At 41.3% G+C, this 22,697-nt stretch overlaps 1 protein-coding gene across 14 annotated transcripts in view, besides 1 other annotated feature; it reads left to right on the top strand.

Annotated features, from left to right (window-relative positions):
• The window catches only part of SHROOM4 (shroom family member 4), a 238,661-nt gene that overhangs the window by 74,426 nt on the left and 141,538 nt on the right, over window positions 1-22,697 (top strand). The window lies entirely within an intron of this gene.
• Window positions 13,063-13,598: an enhancer, noted in NCBI's record as "NANOG hESC enhancer chrX:50469171-50469706 (GRCh37/hg19 assembly coordinates)". NCBI's record gives its function as "activates a minimal SCP1, AML or CMV promoter by ChIP-STARR-seq in naive H9 embryonic stem cells {active_cell/tissue: H9 hESC(naive)}" and the evidence as "EXISTENCE:reporter gene assay evidence [ECO:0000049][PMID:30033119]".

The following is a 22,697-nucleotide window of genomic DNA, read 5'->3' as shown; positions in this document are numbered from 1 at the left end:
CTGACTTCCACAATGGTTGAACGAGTTTCCAGTCCCACCAACAGTGTAAAAGTGTTCCTATTTCTCCACATCCTCTCCAGCACCTGTTGTTTCCTGACTTTTTAATGATCGCCATTCTAACTGGTGTGAGATGGTATCTCATTGTGGTTTTGATTTGCATTTCTCTGATGGCCAGTGATGATGAGCATGTTTTCATGTGTTTTTTGGCTGCATAAATGTCTTCTTTTCAGAAATGTCTGTTCATATCCTTCACCCACTTTTTGATGGGGTTGTTTGCTTTTTTCTTGTAAATTTGTTTGAGTTCATTGTAGATTCTGGATATTAGCCCTTTGTCAGATGAGTAGATTGCAAAAATTTTCTCCCATTCTGTAGGCTGCCTGTTCACTCTGATGGTAGTTTCTTTTGCTGTGCAGAAGCTCTTTAGTTTAATTAGATCCCATTTGTCAATTTTAGCTTTTGTTGCCATTGCTTTTGGTGTTTTAGACATGGAGTCCTTGCCCATGCCTATGTCCTGAATGGTATTGCCTAGGTTTTCTTCTAGGGTTTTTATGGTTTTAGGTCTAACATGTAAGTCTTTAATCCATCTTGAATTAATTTTTGTATAAGGTGTAAGGAAGGGATCCAGTTTCAGCTTTCTACATATGGCTAGCCAGTTTTCCCAGCACCATTTATTAAATAGGGAATCATTTCCCCATTTCTTGTTTTTGTCAGCTTTGTCAAAGATCAGATAGTTGTAGATGTGTGGTATTATTTCTGAGGGCTCTGTTCTGTTCCATTGGTCTATATCTCTGTTTTGGTAGCAGTACCACGCTGTTTTGGTTACTGTAGCCTTGCAGTATGGTTTGAAGTCAGGTAGCGTGATGCCTCCAGCTTTGTTCTTTTGGCTTAGGATTGACTTGGCAATGTGGGCTCTTTTTTGGTTCCATATGAACTTTAAAGTAGTTTTTTTCCAATTCTGTGAAAAAAGTCAATGGTAGCTTGATGGGGATGGCATTGAATCTATAAATTACCTTGGGCAGTACGGCCATTTTCACGATATTGATTCTTCCTATCCATGAGCATGGAATGTTCTTCCATTTGTTTGTGTCCTCTTTTATTTCATTGAGCAGTGGTTTGTAGTTCTCCTTGAAGAGGTCCTTCACATCCCTTGTGAGTTGGATTCCTAGGTATTTTATTCTCTTTGAAGCAATTGTGAATGGGAGTTCACTCATGATTTGGCTCTCTGTTTGTCTGTTATTGTTGTATAAGAATGCTTGTGATTTTTGCACATTGATTTTGTATCCTGAGACTTTGCTGAAGTTGCTTATCAGTTTAAGGAGATTTGGGGCTGAGACGATGGGGTTTTCTAAATATAGAATCATGTCATCTGTAAACAAGGACAATTTGACTTCCTGTTTTCCTAATTGAATACCCTTTATTTCTTTCTCCTGCGTGATTGCCCGGGCCAGAACTTCCAACACTATGTTGAATAGGAGTGATGAGAGAGGGCATCCCTGTCTTGTGCCAGTTTTCAAAGGGAATGCTTCTAGTTTTTGCCCATTCAGTATGATATTGGCTGTGGGTTTGTCATAAATAGCTCTTATTATTTTGAGATACGTCCCATCAATATTTAATTTATTGAGAATTTTTAGCATGAAGGGCTGTTGAATTTTGTCAAAGGCCTTTTCTGCATCTATTAAGATAATCATGTGGTTTTTGTCTTTGGTTCTGTTTATATGCTGGATTACGTTTATTGATTTGTGTATACTGAACCAGCCTTGCATCCCAGGGATGATGCCCACTTGATCATGGTGGATAAGCTTTTTGATGTGCTGCTGGATTCGGTTTGCCAGTATTTTATTGAGGATTTTTGCATTGATGTTCATCAGGGATATTGGTCTAAAATTCTCTTTTTTTGTTGTGTTTCAGTAAGGCTTTGGTATCAGGACGATCCTGGCCTCATAAAATGAGTTAGGGAGGATTCCCTCTTTTTCTATTGATTGGAATAGTTTCAGAAGGAATGGTACCAGCTCCTCCTTGTACCTCTGGTAGAATTCGGCTGTGAATCCGTCTGGTCCTGGACTTTTTTTGGTTGGTAAGCTATTAATTATTGCCTCAATTTCAGAGCCTGTTATTGGTCTATTCAGGGATTCAACTTCTTCCTGGTTTAGTCTTGGGAGGGTGTACTCTCATAACAGTTTTTGTCATAAAGTCCATTTTGTCTAATATTAGTATAGCCACTTCAACTCTCTTATGGTTACTCTGCGTGGTACATCTTTCTCCATTTTTTAAACTTCCAATCTGTTTGTATTTAAATATATAAATATGTGTCTTGTAGATAGCATGCAGTTATATCTTGTTTTCTTATCCAATCTGACAGTCTATGCCTTTTGACTGGGTTATTTAATCCACTTAAATTTAATGTCATTGATTTGGTGGAATTTATTTTGTTGGTTTTTTTCTGTATGTGTCATGACTACTTTGTTCCTTTGTACCTCCTTTACTATCCCCTTTTGTATTTAATGAATATTTTCTAGTGTACCGTTTTAATTTTTCAATGATTTTCAACTATTTTCAAGTTATTCTCATTGTGGTTGTTTTGGCACTTATGATATACATCATAAGTTATCAGAATATACTTCATATTTATAGTAAGTTAATTCTTATAATATATTTTACATTTACTTTTATATAGTTCCATTCATTTCCCTGTTGTCTATTATTTTATACGTATTATGTTTACATATGGTGCAAACACAACAAAATATTCTTTTGAAAATCCAAGATGCAACTTTAGTACATATTTCATTCTACAGAATACTTATACACTTAATCATTTTCCAAAGTACATTTTGCAAGACATACTGGTCTTCACCAGTAACTACTGTTACTTCCTCTTTTTAAAACAGATTTATTGCTTTTATACTGTTGGCGGGAATGTAAACTAATTCAACCATTGTGGAAGACAGTGTGGCAATTCCTCAAAGACCTAAAAGCAGAAGTACCATTTGACCCAGCAATCCCACTACTGGGTATATACCCAAAGGAATGTAAATCATTCTACTATAGAGACATGCAAATGAATGTTTATTGCAGCACTATTCATAATAGCGAAGACATAGAATCAACCTAAATGCCCATCAGCGATAGACTGGATAAAGAAAATGTGGTAGGAATACTGTGCAGCCATAAAAAGAAATGATATCATGTCCTTTGCAGGGACATGGATGGAGCTGAAAGCCATTATCCTCAGCAAACTAATGCAGGAACAGAAATCCAAACACTGCATGTTTTCACTTATAAGTGGGAGCTGAACAATGAGAACACATGGACACAGGGAGGAGAACAACACATATTGGGGCTTGTTGGGGGGTATGCTGGGGAGATGGAGAGCGTTAGGAAAAACAGCTAATGCACGCTGGGCTTAATACCTAGGTGATGGGTTGATAGGTGCAGCAAACCACCATGGCACACGTTTACCTATGTAAGAAACCTGCATATCCTGCACATGAACCCCAGAACTTAAAATAAAAATAAAAATTAGACTGCTTTCCACAGTGGCTGGATTATTTTACATTCCTAGCACCTAGCATGTATGAAGATATGGAGAAATAAAAACCCTGTGTGTGAGGGTTTTTATTTATCCATATCTTCACTAATGCTTGTTGTTACCTGATTCTTTGATTCTAGCCATGAAGTGGTATCTCATTGTGGTTTTGATAAGCATTTTCCCCCGATGGCTAATTATGTCAACCATCTTTTCTCTCTTCCTTTTTTTTTTTTTTGAAACAGTCTCGTTCTGTCACCCAGGCTGGAGTGCAGTGGCGCGGTCTCGGCTCACTGCACCCTCCATCTCCTGGGTTCAAGCTATTCTCCTGCCTCAGCCTCCCAAGTATCCGGGACTGTAGGCGCACACCACCACGCCCAGCTAATTTTTGTATTTTTTAGTGGAGACAGGGTTTCACTATATTGGCCAGGCTGGTCTCAAACTCCTGACCTCGTGATCCGCCCACCTCAGCCTCCCAAAGTGTTGGGATTACAGGCGTGAGCCACTGCGCCCAGCCACGTTAATCATCTTTTCATGTGTTTGTTGGCCATTTATATATATTGTTTGGATAAATGTCTACTCATATCCTTTGTCTGTTTTTTTTTCATTGACTTGTTTTTCTCTTTATCATTGAGTTCTAATTTTCTTTACATATCCAGATACTATCCCTTATCAGATATATGGTTTTAAAATAAATTCTCCTGTTCTGTGGGTTGCCTTTTCACTTTATAGTGTCTTTTGAAGCTCAAAACTTTTACATTTTATGCAGTCCAATTGATCTATTTTTTCTTTTGCTACTCATGCTTTTGGTATCATACCTAAGAATCCTGTACCAAATCAAAAGTCATTAAGGTTTACCTGCTTTTTCTTCTAGTAGTTTTATTGTTCACATTTAAGTCTTTGATAATTTTGAGTGAATTTTTGTATACAGTGTGACATAGGGATCCAGTTTAAGTCTTTTTGCATATGGGTATCCTATTGTCCCTGCAACATTTGTTTAAAAGATGATTCATTTTCTATTGAATTGTCTTGGCACCCTTGTCAAACATCAGTTAAACATAGGTTTATCGGTCTATTTCTGAACTCTCAATGCCATTCCATTGCTCTGTGTGTCTATCCTTGTGCCATTACAAGACTGTCTTGCTTTCTGTTGTTTTTAAATAAGTTTTAAATTGGGAAGTGTACTAGTCTGTTCTCAGCTGCTAATAAAAACATACTCGAGACTGGGTAACTTATAAAGGAAGGAGGTTTAATTGACTCAGTTTCACATAGCTGGGGAGGCCTCACAATCATGGCAGAAGATGAAGGAAGAGCAAAGGGACTCCTTACCTGGCGGCGGGGGTGGGCAAGAGAGAATGAGAGCCAAGCAAAACAGGAAACCTCCTATAAAACCATTAGATTTCATGAGACTTATTCACTACCACGAGAACAGTATGGGGGAAACTGCCCCCATGATTCAGTTATCTCCCATGGGGTCCCTCCCACAACACATGGGAATTATGGGAGCTACAATTCAAGATGAGACTGGGGCCGGGCACAGCAGCTCATGCCTGTAATCCCAGCACTTTGGGAGGCTGAGGCAGGCAGATCACTTGAGGTCAGGAGTTCCAGACCAGCCTGGCCAATATGGTGAAACCCCGTTTGTACTAAAAATTACAAAAATTAGCCAGGCGTGGTGGTGGGTACCTGTAGTCCCAGCTACTCGGGAGGCTGAGGCAAGAGAATCACTTGAACCCAGGAGGCAGAGGTTGCAGTGAGCCGAGATTGCACCACTGCACTCCAGCCTGGGTGACAGAGCAAGACTCCATCTCAAAATAAATAAATAAGAAAAAAGAAAAAGAAAGATGAGACTGGGTGGGGACACAGCCAAACCATATCAAGAAGTGTGAGCCCTCGTACTTTATTCTTCTTTTTCTGGATTGTTTTCAGTATTCTGGGTCCCTTGTAATTCTGGGTCCCATATGAATTTTTGAATCAGCTTGTCAATTTGTACAAACAAGTCAGCTGAGATTCTAGTAGGAATTGCTTCAAATGTATAGCTCAGTTTGGGAAGTACTGCCATCTTAAAAATGTTAGGTCTTTGAATTTATGAATGTAGTGTAGTTTTTCATTTATTTAGACCTTTAATTTCTTTCAACAATATTTAGTAGTTTTCAGAGTGTAAGTTTTGTACTTCGTTTTTAAAAATTTATTCCAAAGTATGTTATTCTTTTTATGGTATTGGAAATAGAATTGTTATGCTCAATGTCATTTTCAGATTGTTTATTGCAAGCAGATAAAAATACAACTCATTTCAGTATATTGATCTTATACCTTGCAAACTTTTTGACCTTATTTATTATTTTAGTAGATTTTTAGTGGATTCCTTAGGATTTTCTATATATAAGATCATGCCATTCTTGAAAAGAGAAAGTTTTATTTCTTCCTTTCCAATTTGGATGTCTTAAATTTCCTTTTCTTGGCTAATTTCTCTGGCTAGAATATCTAGTACAATGTTGAGTGGATTTGACGAAAGTGGACATTCTTATCATTTTTCTAATCTTAAAAGGAAAGCTTGTAGTCTTTCATTATATGTATCATAGCCAGTTTTGTGTGAGTATAACAGAATAGCAGAGACTAGCTAATTTATAATAAACAGAAATTTATTGGCTCACAGTTTTTGAGGCTGGGAAGTTCAAGATTGAGGGGCAGCATCTGGTGAGGGCTTTCTTGCTGTATCATTCCATGGTGGAAGGGCAAAGAGAGGGCATGCATGAGAGACAGCAAGAGTTGGATGAACTCATTTTTTTATAAGGAACTCAATCTAGTGATAACAGCATTAATTTATTCATAAGGGCAATGCCCTCATGACCTAATCACTTCCTTTTAGGCCCCACATCTGAACACCTTGCATTGGGATTAAGTTTCCAAAATGTAATGCTCTGGGGGTACACATTTAAATGATGGCAGTGTGGATTTGTCATAGAAGCCCTTATCAAATTGAGGAAGTTCTCTTCTATTCCATGTTATTCAGGGTTTTATCATGAAGAAGTATTGGATTTTGTCAAATGCTCTTTCTGTGTTGATTAAGGTGGTCATTGATTGTTTGGTTTTTATTCTATTGATATGATGTATTACATTAATTGATTTTCAGATGTTCAGCCAACTCTGCATCTCTCAGATAAATACCACTTGCCATGTTTTATAATTCTTTGTATATGTTGCTACATTCAGTTTGCTAGAATTTTCTTGAAGGTTTTTGCATCCATATAAATAAGACATTGTTGTATAGGTTTCTTGTGATATCTTTGTCTAGCTTTGGAGTCAGGGTAATATTGGCCTCATGAAATGATTTGGAAAGTATTTCTTCCTCATCTGCTTTTTCTCTTGAAGAGTTTTTTAAGAATTTATATTAATTCCTCTTTGAATGTTTAGTAGAATTCAGCAGTGAAGATATCTGGGCCTAGGCTTATCTTTGTGGATAGTCTTTTTATTACTTATTCAGTCTCTTCACTTGTTAAGGTTATCTGTTACTTCTTGGGTCTGTGTTGGTAGTTTCTGTCTTCCTAGAAATTTGTCCATTTCATCTAAGTTATCTAATCTGTTGGCATATAATTGTCCTTAGTATTCCTTTATAAGCTTTTTAGTTCTGTAAAGTCAGTAGTAATTCTCCCTTCAATTTTTGATTCTAGTAATTGAGTCTTGCTTTTTTTCTGGTCAAACTAGCCAAAGAGTTGTCAGTTTTCTGATCTTTTCAAAGAACTACCTTTTGGTTTTATTGATTTTTTCTATTGTTTTTCCATTCTCTGTTTTATTAATTTCTGTTCTGATTTTTATTATTTCCTTCCTTCTACTTGATTTGAGTTTAGTGTACTCTTGTTTTCTGGTACCAACTCTGGATACTAGCCCTTCCCTTCTGGAGCTTGTTATTGTTATTTGCTTATCTGTTTAGTAATTGGCTGGATTATTTTAGTGAAGTTTACCCCTCCAGCACACACGCAGTCTTAAATCTTTGATGTTGCCCCTCATTTAGGCACAACTTTGGGTGTGCCCACAATCACCCTGGAATGACTGTGGTGGTACTGGCAGGGCTGTTATCCTCTTTCCTTGGCCACACCCAGCTGTTAAGTTCTACCAATTGAAGGCCAATTATTCTGTTGTTTACAACAACTCCCTAGGACAAGAATTCTTCTACAAATTTATCTAATCTGAGTGTGGCTCTTTTCAGGAAATAGTTTCTGAGGTCAGTGTTTGATACTTTTTTCGGACCACAGGAAGGCTCCTACCAGCTGTCTTATTCTCCAATTCTCTCCTGCAAACTAGCCAGCCTATAGTCTTGGCTGTATCTTCATTAGATTCATGAGTCTACTCCCAATTTTCTTTATCATAACCTCCAATTTTTTTTAGAGTGTTTTTAGGTTTACACTTATCCATGCTCTCTTGCAAATGAAGTCAGCCTCTCTGAAAAGAGATTAGTAGCTATCCATTTTTATAGGCTGCTTCTCCCCTTAGGTAAAATCTCTGGGCTCTGGTAGGGACAATGGCAATTGTAGGAGCTGACTTGACTTTGTGCATGACTTTCACAACTGTAGGAGCTGAGTGCTAGGTGGAGAGGTGTCACTAGCCTGAGGTCCTCTTGGTTTGCCTTTTCTGGTGTGGAACTACAATCTCAGAACTGAGAGAAGGGCTATTGGAGCTCTGGTGTTCATAACACACCATGACCATGGTAGATCCTCTCTTCCATGAGTGGGGATTGGATGGAAGACAGGATCCCCATCTCTTGACCTCAGTCACCTGGAACTTATTCTCAGCCACAGACAGCTTAGGGACAAATGAGAAATGCTGAAGTCCTGTTCCCTTCAGAAGAAAGCCTGCTGGCTGGGAGCTGAGGGGAGAAGGAGTTCTGTGTTCTTAGCTGCAGCAGTGTGGAGTGGAGTCCCCAGATCACTAGGCTGGGTGGAAGAAGGAGAGAGGGAAAGAGGGGATAGAGGGGGCAGTTTTTGTTCAGATACCACAGACTTGCTTTTTTTTTTTTAAACCAAATTTCTATGGATTTTCTTCAATAAATATTTCTTCATTTTCTGTTTTGCCCTTAGGACCATTTCCAGAGGCTTTAAATGGTTCACCTGTTTTAATGCGACAGAGTCAACAGAGCACCTCATATTGTAATGCCAGAACTCAATCTCCCAATAATATATTTTATAATTATCATTTTATATAACCTTATATCTTTTAAAGAAGAGAGGAAAAGAGAACATAAATATCTTTATGGCTTTTAAAAAATAACCTTCTCATTTACCATTTTTTATTCTCACCATTTCTTTCTGTGTACTTGAGTTACCATTGGGTATCGTTTTCTTACTCCAATACAGCTTCATTCTGACGCCCCTCCTATGTGGTGTTATTGTCATATGTATTAAATTTCTATATGTTATAGGCCCAACAATAAATTTTGTAGTTAATGTTATTTTTTTTTTTTTTCTTTTTCTGAGACGGAGTCTTGCTTTATCACCCAGGCTGGAGTGCAGTGGTGCGATCTCGGCTCACTGCAACCTCTGCCTCCTGGGTTCAAGCAATTCTCCTGCCTCAGCCTCCAGAGTGGCTGGGACTACAGGTGTGCACCACCAAGCCTGGCTAATTTTTGTATTTTTGTAGAGATGGAGTTTTGCCATGTTGGCCAGGCTGTTCTTGAACTCCTGACCTCAGGTGATCTGCCCACCTTGGCCTCCCAAAATGCTGGGATTACAGGCTTGAGCCACTGTGCCAGGCCTGTAGTTAATGTTCTGTGCAATTGCTTTTTATTTTTTTATTTGATTTATTTTATTATTATTTTTTTGAGATGGAGTTTTGCTCTTGTTGCCCAGGCTGGAGTGTAATGGGGCGATCTCAGCTCACTGCAACTTCCACCTCCTGGGTTCAAGCAATTCTCCTGCCTCAGCCTCCCGAGTAGCTGGGATTACAGGCATGTGACATCACTCCCGGCTAACTTTGTATTTTTAGTAGAGATGGGGTTTCTCCATGTTGGTCATGCTGGTCTCGAACTCCCAACCTCAGGTGATCCGCCCGCCTCGGCCTCCCAAAGTGCTGAGATTATAGGTGTGAACCACTGCACCCAGCCTGCAATTGCTTTTTAAATCAGTTAAGAGATAAAAGGTAAAGAAATATATTCCTTGTCACTACCTACACAATTAACCTTTAACACAATGCTTTGTTTTTCATGAAAATTCAAATTACTCTCTGGTGTCACTTTGATTTAGCCTGAAGAATTTCCTTTAGATTTTCTTGTAAGTCAGGTCTATTAGCAATGAATTCTTTCAGGTTTTTATTATATGGGAACATCATTATTTTGCCTTCATTTTTGAAAGATAGTTACTGAGTATATGATACTTGGTTGATGTATTTTTTTTTCATTCAGCACTTTAAATTTGTTATCCCACTAATTTTGTTCTCCATATTTTTCTATTGAGAAGTTCACTGTTAGTCTTATTGGGGTTTCCTTTAGATATGATTAGTAGTGTTTTGCTTGATGCTCTCAAGATTTTTTCTTTATCTTTAGTTTTAATATTTTAAATATGATGCATCTGGGTGTGGATCATTGAGTTTCTTCTACTGGAGTTTGTTGAACCTTTTGGATTTGTAAGTTAGCCTTGTCCATCAAATATGAGAAGGTTATTGTCATTATTTTTCTAATTTTTCTGAGTCTCTTTATTTCCTCTCCTTATGGTACTTGTAATATATGTATGTTTGTGTGCTTAATGGTGTACCATATTTCTCTGACGCTCTGTTTCTCTTTATTTTTTTCTGTTCATTTTGTATAATCTCTATTCATCTGTATTCAAGTTTATTGATTCTTTCTTCTGCCAACTTAAATCTCTAGTGAATATTTCATTTGGATTATTCTATTTTCAACTCCAGAATGCTATCTTGTTTATAATTTCTGTCTCTTTTTCTATTCTCTATTTGATGAATTTTTATCATACTTTTCTTTCATTCTTCAAGCATGCTTTCTTTCAGTTGTTTAAACATATTTATAATAGCTGCTTTATAGTCTTGGGTAAGTCCAACATTTGGACTCTGTCAAAAGCAGTTTCTTTTGCCTGCTTTTCTTCCTATGTATGGGCTGTGCTTTCCTCTTTGTTTCATATATTGTAATTTCTTTTGAAAACTGGACATTTAAAATAATATGTGATCTCTTTTCCACATCAATGATATGTGTAGCAGCTTTAAGTAATGACCATCTCCCACCCCCACCCCCAATTTTTGGGACTTGCTGTTATTTGTTTGGTTGTCTGTTTATTTTTTGACTTGATAGTCTATTTCCAGTAGTGTATGCAGCCTCTAATATCCATTCCCCAATTTTTTTTCTTTGTTCTTATTTTTTATCCTGTCTTCTTAGGGGTCACCCTTGGGTGCACATGAACCATTTAATCACCAAAGGTTATGATTACTCCCCTTAGTCAGTTAGACTCTTTACTTTTGCATGTATTTGTAGCTTTGAGTTTGTTTTCACAGTTGAGGGTGTTTATGATTTTTTTTTACATTTAGCCAGATGTTCTCTCTCTGGTCTTTTCTATGAGGGTGCAGCCTTGGGCATGCACACAATGTACCAGACCACTAGGGATTAGTTTTACTTTGTTTTTAGACCTGAATTCCTAGAAGCAGCCCTTGGGTCAGAATAGCCTATTGTTCAGCCAGTGTTTCATCAGGAGTTGTGCAAAAGCCCCTTGATCTAATGGATCTGTGTGTGGCTTGGAGAATACTTTCAAGTCTGCCTTCCTTCTAACTCTGATTGCTTCTGATTAGGTGTAGCCTAGCTTATGCACACAGGCTTTCAGATGTCCAGTGATGTTGGTGACCCCAGGAGGGCTCTGCTTGGCTATTTCTTTTTTTTCTTTTTCTTTTTTTGAGATGGAGTCTTGCTCTGTTGCCCAGGCTGGAGTGCAGTGGTGCAATCTCGGCTCACTGCAAGCTCCACCTCCCAGGTTTACACCATTCTCCTGCCTCAGCCTCCTGAGTAGCTGGGACTACAGGTGCCCGCCACCATGCCTGGCTAATTTTTTGTATTTTTAGTAGAGACGGGGTTTCACCGTGTTAGCCAGGATGGTCTCCATCTCCTGACTTCGTGAACCGCCCACCTCAGCCTCCCAAAGTGCTGGGATTTGGGCTATTTCTATGGCTCTGTCTTTTAAACTTCTGATCAGTTTGCATTTCACTAGTATCACAGAGCTACCAGCCTTCTTGAAATTGCTCACCAAGATCTCCATTGATTTAATAACATTGTCAGACATAAACTTCTCCATATTCTGTTCCAAATAAAGTCAATCCCCTCAGGCAGAACTGCTAAAGCCTTCTGTTTTTATTACCTGCCTCTCCCTCTGGGCAGAAGCTGTGGATCATTGCACTGGAGCTGAATGTAGCAAGAGCGGCCTGTTTCTTCTAGATTGACACCCCTATTATATGAGCAAGTCCTGGTATAGGGTATATTCATTTTCACACTGCTATAAAGAACTACCTGAGACTGTGTAATTTATGAAGAAAAAAGGTTGAATTGACTCACAGTTTCCCATGGCTGGGGAGGCCTCAGGAAACTTACAATCATCTAGAAGGTGAAGGGAAAGCAAGGAACATCTTACGTGGCAGCAGAAGAGAGAGAGAAAGTGAGGAAGTGCTACACTTTAAAACCATGAGCTCTTGTGAGAACTCACTCACTATCATGAGAAAAGCATGGGGGAAACTGCCACCATGATTCAGTCACCTCCCACCAGGTCCCTCCCTTGACACATGGGGATTACAATTCAAGATGAGATTTGGGTGGGACACAGAGCCAAACCATATCATTCTGCCCCAGCCCCTCCCAAATCTCATGTCCTTTTCACATTTCAAAACCAATCATGCCTTCCTAACAATTCCCCAAAGTCTTAACTCATTCCAGCATTAACTCAAAAGCCCAATTCCAAAGTCCCATCTGAGACCAGGCAAGTTCCCTCTGCCTATGAGCCTGTAAAATCAAAAACAAGCTAGTTACTCTTAAGATACAATGGGGGTATGGGCATTGGGTAAATGTTCCCATTCCAAATAAGAGAAATTGGCCAAAACAAAGGGGCCATAGGCCCAATGCAAATCTGAAACCCAGAAGGGTATTCATTAAATCTTAAAGCTCCAAAACAATCTCCTTTGACTCCATGTCTCACATCCAGGGCATAGTGATGCAGGAGGGGCTCCGAAGGCCTTGGGCAGCTCCACCCCTGTGGCTCTGTAGGGTACAGCCCCCATGGCTGCTTTCATGGGCTGGCATTGAATGCCTGTGGCTTTTCCAGGTTGTACAGTGCAAGCTGTCAGTGGATCTACCATTCTGGGGTCTGGATGATGGTGGCCCTCTTCTCACAGCTCCAATAGGCAGTGCCCCAATGGGGACTCTGTGTGGGATCTCTGACCTCACGTTTCCCTTCCAAACTGCCCTAGTAGAGGTTCTCCATTAGGCCTCTGCCCTGCAGCAGAATTCTGCCTGGACATCCAGGCATTTCCATACCTCCTCTGAAATCTAGGCAGAGGTTCCTAAACCTCAGCTCTTATCTGCTGTGCACAGGCTCAACATCATGTGATAAGCCACCAAGGTTTGAGGCTTGCACCCTCTGAAGCAATGGCCTGAGCTGTACGTTTTTCCCTTTTAGCCATGGCTGGAGCTGGAGTGGCTGGGATGCAGGGCACCATGTCCTGAGGCTGCACAATGCAGTGGGGCCTTGGGCCCGGCCCAAGCCATTTTTCCCTCCTAGGCCTCCAGCTTGTGATGGGAGGGGCTGCCATGAAGATCTTTGAAATGCCTTGGAGATGTTTTCCCCATTGTCTTGGTGATTAGCATTTGGCTCCTCGTTACTTATGCAAATTTCTATAGCAGGCTTGAATTTCTCCCCAGAAAATGGGTTTTTCTCTTCTACTGCATGCTCAGGCTACAAATTTTCCAAACTTTTATGCTCTACTTCCCTTTTAAACATAAGTTCCAATTTCAAATCATCTTTTTGTGAATGCATATACTGTACGCTTTTAGAAAAAGCCAGGTCACTTCTTTAACACTTTGCTGCTCAGAAGTTTCTTCTGCCAGATATACTAAATCATCTCTTAAGTTCAAAGTTCCACAGACCTCTAGGGCAGGGGCAATGCCACCAGTCTCTTCGCTAAAGCATAGCAAGAGTGACCTTTGCTCCAGTTCCCAATAAGTTCTTCATTCTATCTGAGACCACCGCAGCGTGGACTTCATTGTCCATAACACCATCAATCAGCATGTTGGTCAAAACAATTCAACAAGTCTCTAGGAAGTTCCAAACTTCCCCACATCTTCCTGTCTCTTCTGAGCCCTCCAAACTGTTCCAACCTCTGCCTGTTACCCAGTTCCAAAGTCACTTCCACATTTTCAGGTTATCTTTATAGCAGTGCCCCACTCCCAATACCAATTTTCTATATTAGTCTGTTTTCACACTGCTATAAAGAACTACCTGAGACTGGGTAATTTATGAAGAAGAAAGGTTTAATTGACTCACAGTTCCACATGGCTGGGTAGGCCTCAGGAAACTTACAATTATGGCAGAAGGTGAAGGAAAAGCAAGGCACATCTTACATAGCAGCAGGAAAGAGAGAGCGGAAGTGCCCCACTTTAAAACTGTCAGCTCTTGTGAGAACTCACTCACTATCACAAGAACAGCATGGGAGAGACTGCCGTCATGGTCCAGTTACCTCCCACCAGGTCCCTCCCTTAACACGTGGGGATTACAATTTGAGATGGGATTTGGGTGGGAACACAGAGCCAAACCATATCAGAGGGAGATATGGCCCTGATACTCTCTGCTTGCGCCTCCCACCGTGGAACCTATGCCCTATGAGCAAGTTGTGGTGAGGTGATTGGGGCCTTAGTATTCTTGGCCTGCTTTGCCAGAGCAGAGCCCTTGGCTTATGAGTGGAGCGAGGTGGGGGAAAGAGACCCAGTCCACTTAGCTGCAGCTTCCTAGAGCAGCATTTTCATAACAAGGGCCTACTGAGGATAAGAGGTGCCAGTGGATTTCCCCTTCTGGGGTGAAATCCTAGAATAACCTTAGCCTGGGTCTTAGTCTTGACTATGAGCTGGGGATAAAGGGAGCCTTCCTCTTTTCTTAGCCACATCTGCCTTGTATCCATAAAACTGGGATAGAGATGGGTTAGGAACAGGTCATGTATCAAATGCCACTGACTCCTATTGTTCTTACCAAAATTCACTAAGTTTACTTGAATAAACATTTCTTCACTTTCCATAAGCCATTAGGACAATTTCCAGAGACTTTAAATGGGAGAGGATCCACCGAGCTCCTCATATCCCTATTCTGGAAGTTCTATCAGCAACGATTTCTTATATACAATACCAAAGACATAAGTGATGAAAAGATGGATAAAGATTGGACTTAATCAAAATTAGAAACTTTTGTTCTTTAAAAGACACTGTCTAGAAACTGAAAGGGGGCCGGGCACGGTGGCTCATGCCTGTAACCCCCGCCCTTTGGGAGGCTGAGGCAGGCGGATCACCTGAGGTCAGGAGTTCGAGACCAGCCTGACCAATGTGGAGAAACCCCGTCTCTACTAAAAATACAAAAAATAAAATAAAATAAAATAAGCCAGGTGTGGTGGCGCATGCCTGTCATCCCAGCTACTCGGGAGGCTGAAGCAGGAGAATCACTTGAACCCAGGAGGCGGAGGTTGCAGTGAGCCAAGATCGTGCCATTGCACTCCAGCTGGGCAACAAGAGCGAAACTCTGTCTAGAAAAAAAGAAAGAAAGAAAGAAACTGAAAGGACAATTTATATTAGTTTTCTACTGCTGTTATAGGAAATTACCACAAACTTAGTAGCTTAAAAAATACAAATTTATCATTTTACAGTTCTGTACATTAGAAATATGACATGAGTCTCACTGGGCTAAAACCAACATGTCAGCAGGGCTCATTTTTTTCTGGAGGCTCAAGGAGAGAACTTCCTTGCCTTTTTTAGCTTCTAGAGGTTGCCCATATTCCTTGGCTCATGGCTCTCTTCTTCTGTCTTCAAGGAGAGTTTATAGGCTTTAAAAGGCCATGCTGTAACAGGCAAGTGATAACAGGCTTTAGTGCTGTGGGATGGGATATTGGCGTTGAGCGGGGTAAGGGTGATTAGGTTTTAATGGGATCGTAAGGGGTGCATCATCCATCACCAAGGAGGGAGTAGAGGTGTCCTACACTTGTGGATTAAGGTGGGGAGATACAAGGAGAGGATGTGAAGGAGGCTTTGAACTGGGGGAAAAGGTGGCAATGAGGTGTGGCTGTGCAGGGAAGCAGATAATTTAGTTAAAATGTCTCGACCTAATAAGGGAACTAGGCAGGTGGGGATAACTAAAAAGGAGTGCATAAAAGAATGTTGTCCAATTTGGCACCAGAGCTGGGGAGTTTTAAGAGGTTTAGAAGCCTGGCCGTCAATACCCACAACAGTTACGGAGGGAAGGGATACAGGCCCTTGAAAAGAAGATAATGTGGAGTTGGTAGCCTCTGTATTGATTAAGAAGGGGACGGACTTACCCTCCACTGTAAGAGTTACCATGGGCTCAGAGGCCTGAAAGGAACATGGACTGACTGTATATGAGCTCAAAGCTCTGATCATCAGCACCTGCTGTAGCCCCAGCATACCCTCAAGGTGTGGACTCTCCCCTCTAACCAAGGAAATTAAAGCATCAGAATGAACCAAAAGCATTTAATGGGTAAAGGCAGCCATCAGTACACTCATAGGAAGCCCACACTCCTAAAGAACAGGAGGGTCTTGCAAAAACCTCCCAGGCTTGTTTGTTTCTCCCTCTGTTTCTCTCTCTCTCTCTCTCTCTCTCTCTCCCTCCCTTGCTCCCTCCCTCCCTCCCTCCTTCCTTCCCTCCCTGCCCCTCTCCCCCTCCTCCCCCTCCCTCCCCCCCTCCCCCCACCACATTTCTGAAATAGAGCCCAGATGAGAAACCTGCTCATGTGTATGTCTGTCCCATTTAAGAATAGTAGATTCTGACTCATGGGCAATTTCATTCCTGAAATTCCAATTGCAGAAAAAAGATTAGCAGAACAGGTTTTATTTCATTTTCTATCCCCCTCCCTTTCCATCATTTCCCTTGACATCACATATGTCAATAAGTAGCATGTACGGAAGCACTGATCATTTCTTAATTAATACCTTTACAGTTTCTTTTTGAGGACAATGGAAATGTTCTAAAATTAGATTGTGGTGATGGTTGTACAACTCTTTAAATATACTAAACAATCATTGCATTTCGCTTAAATGGATGAATTTTATGGTATGGTAATTTTATTGTGTGTAAATTATATCTCAATAAAGCTATAAATTAAGAAACAATCAGTGCTTCCCTACATGCTACTTATTGATGTATGCTATCTCAAGGGAAATGATGGAAAGGGAGGATAGAAAATAAAATAAAACCTGCTCTCCTAATCTTTTTTCTGCAATTGAGATTTCCGGAATGAAATTGCCCATGAGTCAGAATCTACTGTTCTTAGATGGGACAGACATACACATGAACAGGTTTTTCATCTGGGTTCTATTTCAGAAATTCATGGAGAGAGAGAGAGAGAGAGAGATGAAAGGAAGGATGGACGGAAGGAAGCAGGCCTGGAAGGCTTTTGCAAGACCCTCCTGTTATTTAGGAGTGTGGGATTCCCGTGAGTGTATTGCTGGCTGCCTTTACCCATTAAATGCTTTTGGTTCATTTTAATGCTTTAATTTCCTTGGTTAAAGGGAGAGTCCACACCTTAGGGCTGCGCTGGGGTTTAGCAGGTACTGATGACCAGAGGAAAATCTACTGAGTGCTAAATGCAAACAAGTCAAGGACTGAAGCTGGCCTGAGAGTCAGGGACCCCTTCCCTTAGGTAGGTTTTAGCCTAACTTCTATACATTTGCTGTAACTGAAGCCCCACCCCCAGCAGCTACATTCCCTGGCCTTCCCAGAACATTGCTGTGGGCCCCCATACTAGATTTCCCTCCTTCCTCTGGACATCTCTAGAAACATCTTTTCTGCATTGCTGCAAACTTTCATTTTAACTCCCTCTCTGCTATTACTTAACTCAAGGACAGAGGAAATAGCTGCAGTCCAGAAACAGAATAAAACAAAGAAGAAAGAAAGAGAAGAAGCCCCAAACTCCTCCCAAATCTTTAAGAAAACAATCCTGTAGGATTTGGTTGGGAATTGCCATGCAATGTGGGGAATGTGAAACATGTGCTAATCATGGCCCTTTCTGCTTGGATCCTACCTGACTTCTCTCCACCACCCCCAGCCAGCTGGGCTAGGCTAGGCCCAGGGGAGCCACAAAGCTGCCAGCTTAGAAAATGGAGACAAATGAGGAGGCCCCAGAGGACAAAGCAAGACTTGTTACTAGTTTTGAGGCCAAAGCAACACATACAGTATTTAAGGGCTATGGGGGTAGATGCTGCAAAGCCTGGAATCCTAGCTTTGAGCTTAAAGATTCAGGCTAATTTGCAGTGACTGACTGTGTCAGAGGTGTTTGAACCAGAGCAACTCCATCTTGAATAGAAGCTGGGTAAAATGAGGCTGAGACCTGCTGGGCTGCATTCCCAGGAGGTTAAGGCATTCTTAGTCACAGGATGAGGCAGGAGGTCGGCACAAGATACAGGTCCTAAAGACCTTGCTGATACAACAGGTTGCACTAAAGAAGCCAGCTAAAACCCACCAAAACCAAGATGGCGACCAGAGTGACCTCTGGTTATCCTCACTGTTACACTCCATCCAGCACCATGACAGTTTACAAATGCCATGGCAACATCAGGACATTATCCTGTATGGTCTAAAAAGGGGAGGCATGAATAATCCACCCGTTGTTGAGCATATCATCAAGAAATAACCATAAAAATGGGCAACCAGCAGCCCTCAGGGCTGCTCTGCCTACAGATTAGCCATTCCTTATTCCTTTACTTCCTTAATAAACTTGCTTTAACTTTACAGACTCACTCTGAATTCTTTCTTGTGCAAGATCCAAGAACCCTCTCTTGGGGTCTGAATCCAGACCCCTTTCTGGTAACAACTGTTCTGGAGTCAGTAGTTTCTGAGCTAGGCCTCACTTGGTTCACCATCTTGACTCTTGCCTTGATTATTGCCAGACTTTCCTGGCTCGGTGTCCCTGCATGCAGTCAGTGCCACAGTGATCTTTTCAAAACAGAGATCAGAGATCTGATATCAGTACTCCCTCTCTTCCAGTCTATCTCATCTCCAGGAGAAAACCCACATTCCCTAACATGGCATATGAAATGAAACCCTTTATAATCTGGCCTTAGTTGCTCTCGCTTCATATTCTATCACCTGTCCTCACCCTCAGGTGATCCCACAAAACTATTTATACTTTCTTGAACATTTTTTTTTTCTTCCCCACATCAGTGCCTTTCCATCTGCTATTCCTTCAGCCAGGAATGAATGCGCTTTCCATCTTTTTCTCCATTAGGTTATAATCCCACTCTTCATTTAAGACTAAGTGCCTCTGTGAAACCTTAGGCTTGCTAGGGAGGGGTTTTCAGCTTTCTTCTTGTTGCCAGATCTCACTGAACATACCTTGGGAAGGCAGAGTTGTGCAATGGAAAGAACCTACATGATAGAGTCAGACACACTATGGGATGGTGAGTAAAAGACTTTATCTCTCAGTTTCTTCATCTGTAAAATGGGAGTATGAATCACTACAAGGCAAAAAGGTTTATATTGGTAAGTGCCAAGCACAGTACTTAATACATAGTAGGTACTTGGGCAATATTGTATGTTGTAGAAGAAATAGAAAAATGATTCCTTTACTCTCAGTTGGGGACTCTAAGGAGGAGTTTCTGAGCAGACAACCAAGTGGATGGTGTTCTCTGGGGCCTGTTTACCTGTCTTCTTGGGGTTCACCTGCCTTTGGCCACCCTCATGTCTAAATGATATTTTGCAATTATCCTGCCTTGTTGGGAGCAGCCATCAGCTGCTTTCCCATTCATGTCCCTTAAAAATCTGTGTGGGCAATCATAAGAGGAGAGGGAAGAAATTTTCACATCCCCTTCTTTTCTTCCCCATGTCCTTGTCTTGCCCCCAAGCCTCAGATTGTCTAGCAGTCACTTCATGTCGGCCTTACCCCTTCCTGCAAACATGCTCCCCCTAGTCTTTTTTCTGCAATTGAGATTTCAGAAACAAAATTGCCTATGAGTGGGAATCTACTGTTCTCAGATTGGAATGGACATACACATTAGCTGGTTTCTCATCTGGACTCTATTTCAGAAATGTACACAAGATGTCAAAAATATACCATTTGGAACCAGAGCAATATTTATTTTGAAAAAATTAGGGAGAAAAGTTTCCTTGCTTCAATTCCTACTGGAATGTAAAATAACTATGTGCTGATGCTGCATTTTGACAGCATTGAGTTAGTTACCCTCAGGGTCACTAGATGAGTGGTGCACAGACACACACGCACACACATGTGTGCACACACACAAACACATATATTCAGAGTGCTTTGTTGTTGACTGGAAATTGCAGGCAGTCTGATGCCAGAGTTAGGCTTTAATGGATCAAGCCATACATTAACAACACTTTAGTAAGTGTTCCCTTATGTGCCAAATCTTGTGCTAGGCGGGGAGAAGAAAAGGACAAGTCACAGATGGAGTAATCTGAACACAACAAGAGAGCATAAAGCACTAACACATTAATACTGAGAGTAAATATTTAAAGAAGAAGGGGTTGAGGTTACTGAACTATAGTTACCAGGGAAAATTTCCTGGAGGGAATGGTGAGACCTGAGCAAGGACTTGGAGGATAAAATTGGCGACTCTGATTTATCCACAGAATTCTCTTAGAAATGACTATTAGAATAGATAGAATGAATATTAGTTTGCAGGAGGTGGAAACAAAAATGACCTGAAATTGTATCTGAAGGAGGTTATATGGAAAAGATTGAGAGGAACATGGGACCAAGAAGTAGAAGGCATCTTAGTCGTAGAGTCACTACTGACTCATTGTGAATGACCTTAGGCAAGTCCTTTCTCTTTGAAGGACTTTTCCCGTCTCTACATTGGAGCTAAATAATATCAGCCTTACTGACCTCCTAGGACTATTGTTAAGAGAACAAATGAGATAATTGTGTGACTGTGCTTGGAAAAATAGAGAAGACTATCCAAAAATATAGTTTGGGTTTATGAAGGCAGAGTTTATACTGTAGCCACTCTCTTGCAGCTGGGAATAGGATGACCTCAGTATTTGAATGAATTTTTCTTGGCAGGCCTCTTGCCTGCCATAATTACAGCCTGCCAGCCACTAGTTGAGTATACATACTGAAGCAGGATCTGCACACAAGCATGCATGTGTGTGTGTAAGTTTGCATTGGGCTAGGAGATTGTAGCCAAGAGAATAAAAAGACGGGAGAATTCTTAGGAACCAAGGAGATCTATAGAAATGGAGATTTATGTAATCATCTTTGGGCCTGCCACTTCAGTAATTCAGGACATCATCCATCTTCCTTGGTATATTACAAAGCCTTCCTACTTATCTGCCTGACTTCATGGTGCCCCAATCTAGCCCATCTTCCACACTGCTGCTAAAGTGTGTTTCCAACCCAATGACATTTTGGGGCTCCTGGATGACCACAAGGTAGCACTCATGCTCATTCACATGACATAGAAGCAGGGCTGTATTTAACTAGTATTCACTGATATGACCACACTTCTTGTTAAAATTATGGGATCCTTTGAGAGGCTCTTTGAGCCTCTTCAAGACCCCTCCTGCTGCCCCAGCTGCCCCTCCCAACTCTTGGACCCAGCCACTAAAGGGTTAGTGCCCAGCACAGCAAGGGACCTGGAGGACATTGTTCCATGCACTGACCTGCATCTATTCTGCTTTGTTGGTGCTGCTGCTGCTATATTGGTTTTTATATATGTTTAGGATTACTTTTGCATTCATGATTCATCTCATCCCAGTGCATGTTTCCAGCTTATCTCTCACAACTTTTCCACACAGATATCAGCAAATTGAAATTATCATATTCCGCATCTGGATTTATATGCCTGTCTCTACCACAATACTGGGAACCCTTTGAGAGTAGGGACAAGTGGCTTCCTCACCAATGTAGCCCCAAAGCCAAGCTCTGGACCCAGCACACAGTGGACACTCAGTATATGTTTGTTGCTTATCATAGAGGATGTTGGTAGATGGAGCCATTCTGTTTGTAATCCTCTAAAAACCTTCAGGATCTAGGCCTGAACCTGGTGCAGGGCACTTTCTTGGTCTTCTTGCAGACCTCATGAATGTTATTCACATTTCCAGTGTCCTTGGAAGGGAGGGAAAGAGCAAGTATTATTTCCATTCTATTACTGGGGAAATGGAAGTATTCCAAGAGTACATCTCAGCCACACAATGAATGTTTAATGGAACTGAGACATAAAGTCATCTCTCTGGAAATTTTCCTTACCCACAGTGCTGGAAAGCCTTTTGAGATTTGGGGTGAAAACTGCTGCCCTAATGTGAGTAATTGAAGACTGCTGCCTTCTGGGGAGATGCTGGCTTGGAGTCTTTTTAAGTGGGCTGAAGGACTATCTGGTGGAAGTGATGTAAATGTTCTTGTCCCTTCTGTCCCAGCACTGCCAAGAGAGACACTGGTGTGTGGGGTTGAGGTGGAGAATACATTAAATCTCTTCTGATTTGGTTGCTTGGCTTCTGCTGCAACCAATTAACATGGCTTCAAGCCAGGTATGGTGGTTCACCCCTGTAATCCCAGCACTTTGGGATGCCGAGGTGGGCAGATCACGAGGTCAAGAGATAGATCGAGACCATCCTGGCCAACATGGTAAAACCCCGTCTCTACTAAAAATACAAAAATTTAGCTGGGTGTGGTGGCGGTCGCCTGTAGTCCCAGCTACTGGGGAGGCTGAGGTAGGAGAATCGCTTGAACCCGGGAGGCGGAGCTTGCAGTGAGCTGAGATCGCACCAATGCACTGCAGCCTGGTGATGGAGCAAGACTCTGTCTCAAACAAACAAACAAAAAAACCATGGCTTTACAACTGGTGGTCCCTTCAGCAACAAGTTAACTTTCATTTCAGGAAATCCTCTGGCACCCTTTCTCTGAGATGGATCCCCCTTACCCCTACAAGAATAGTCCCTTGTAGTGAGCCAGCCTGGAAGTGCTGTAGAGA

The sequence above is a fragment of the Homo sapiens genome, chromosome X (assembly GCF_000001405.40).
Source record: "Homo sapiens chromosome X, GRCh38.p14 Primary Assembly".
In the NCBI taxonomy this organism is placed as follows: Eukaryota; Metazoa; Chordata; class Mammalia; order Primates; family Hominidae; genus Homo; species Homo sapiens.
The sequence above is the reverse complement of the archived record's forward strand: the minus strand, read 5'-3'. Positions and strand labels throughout refer to the sequence as shown.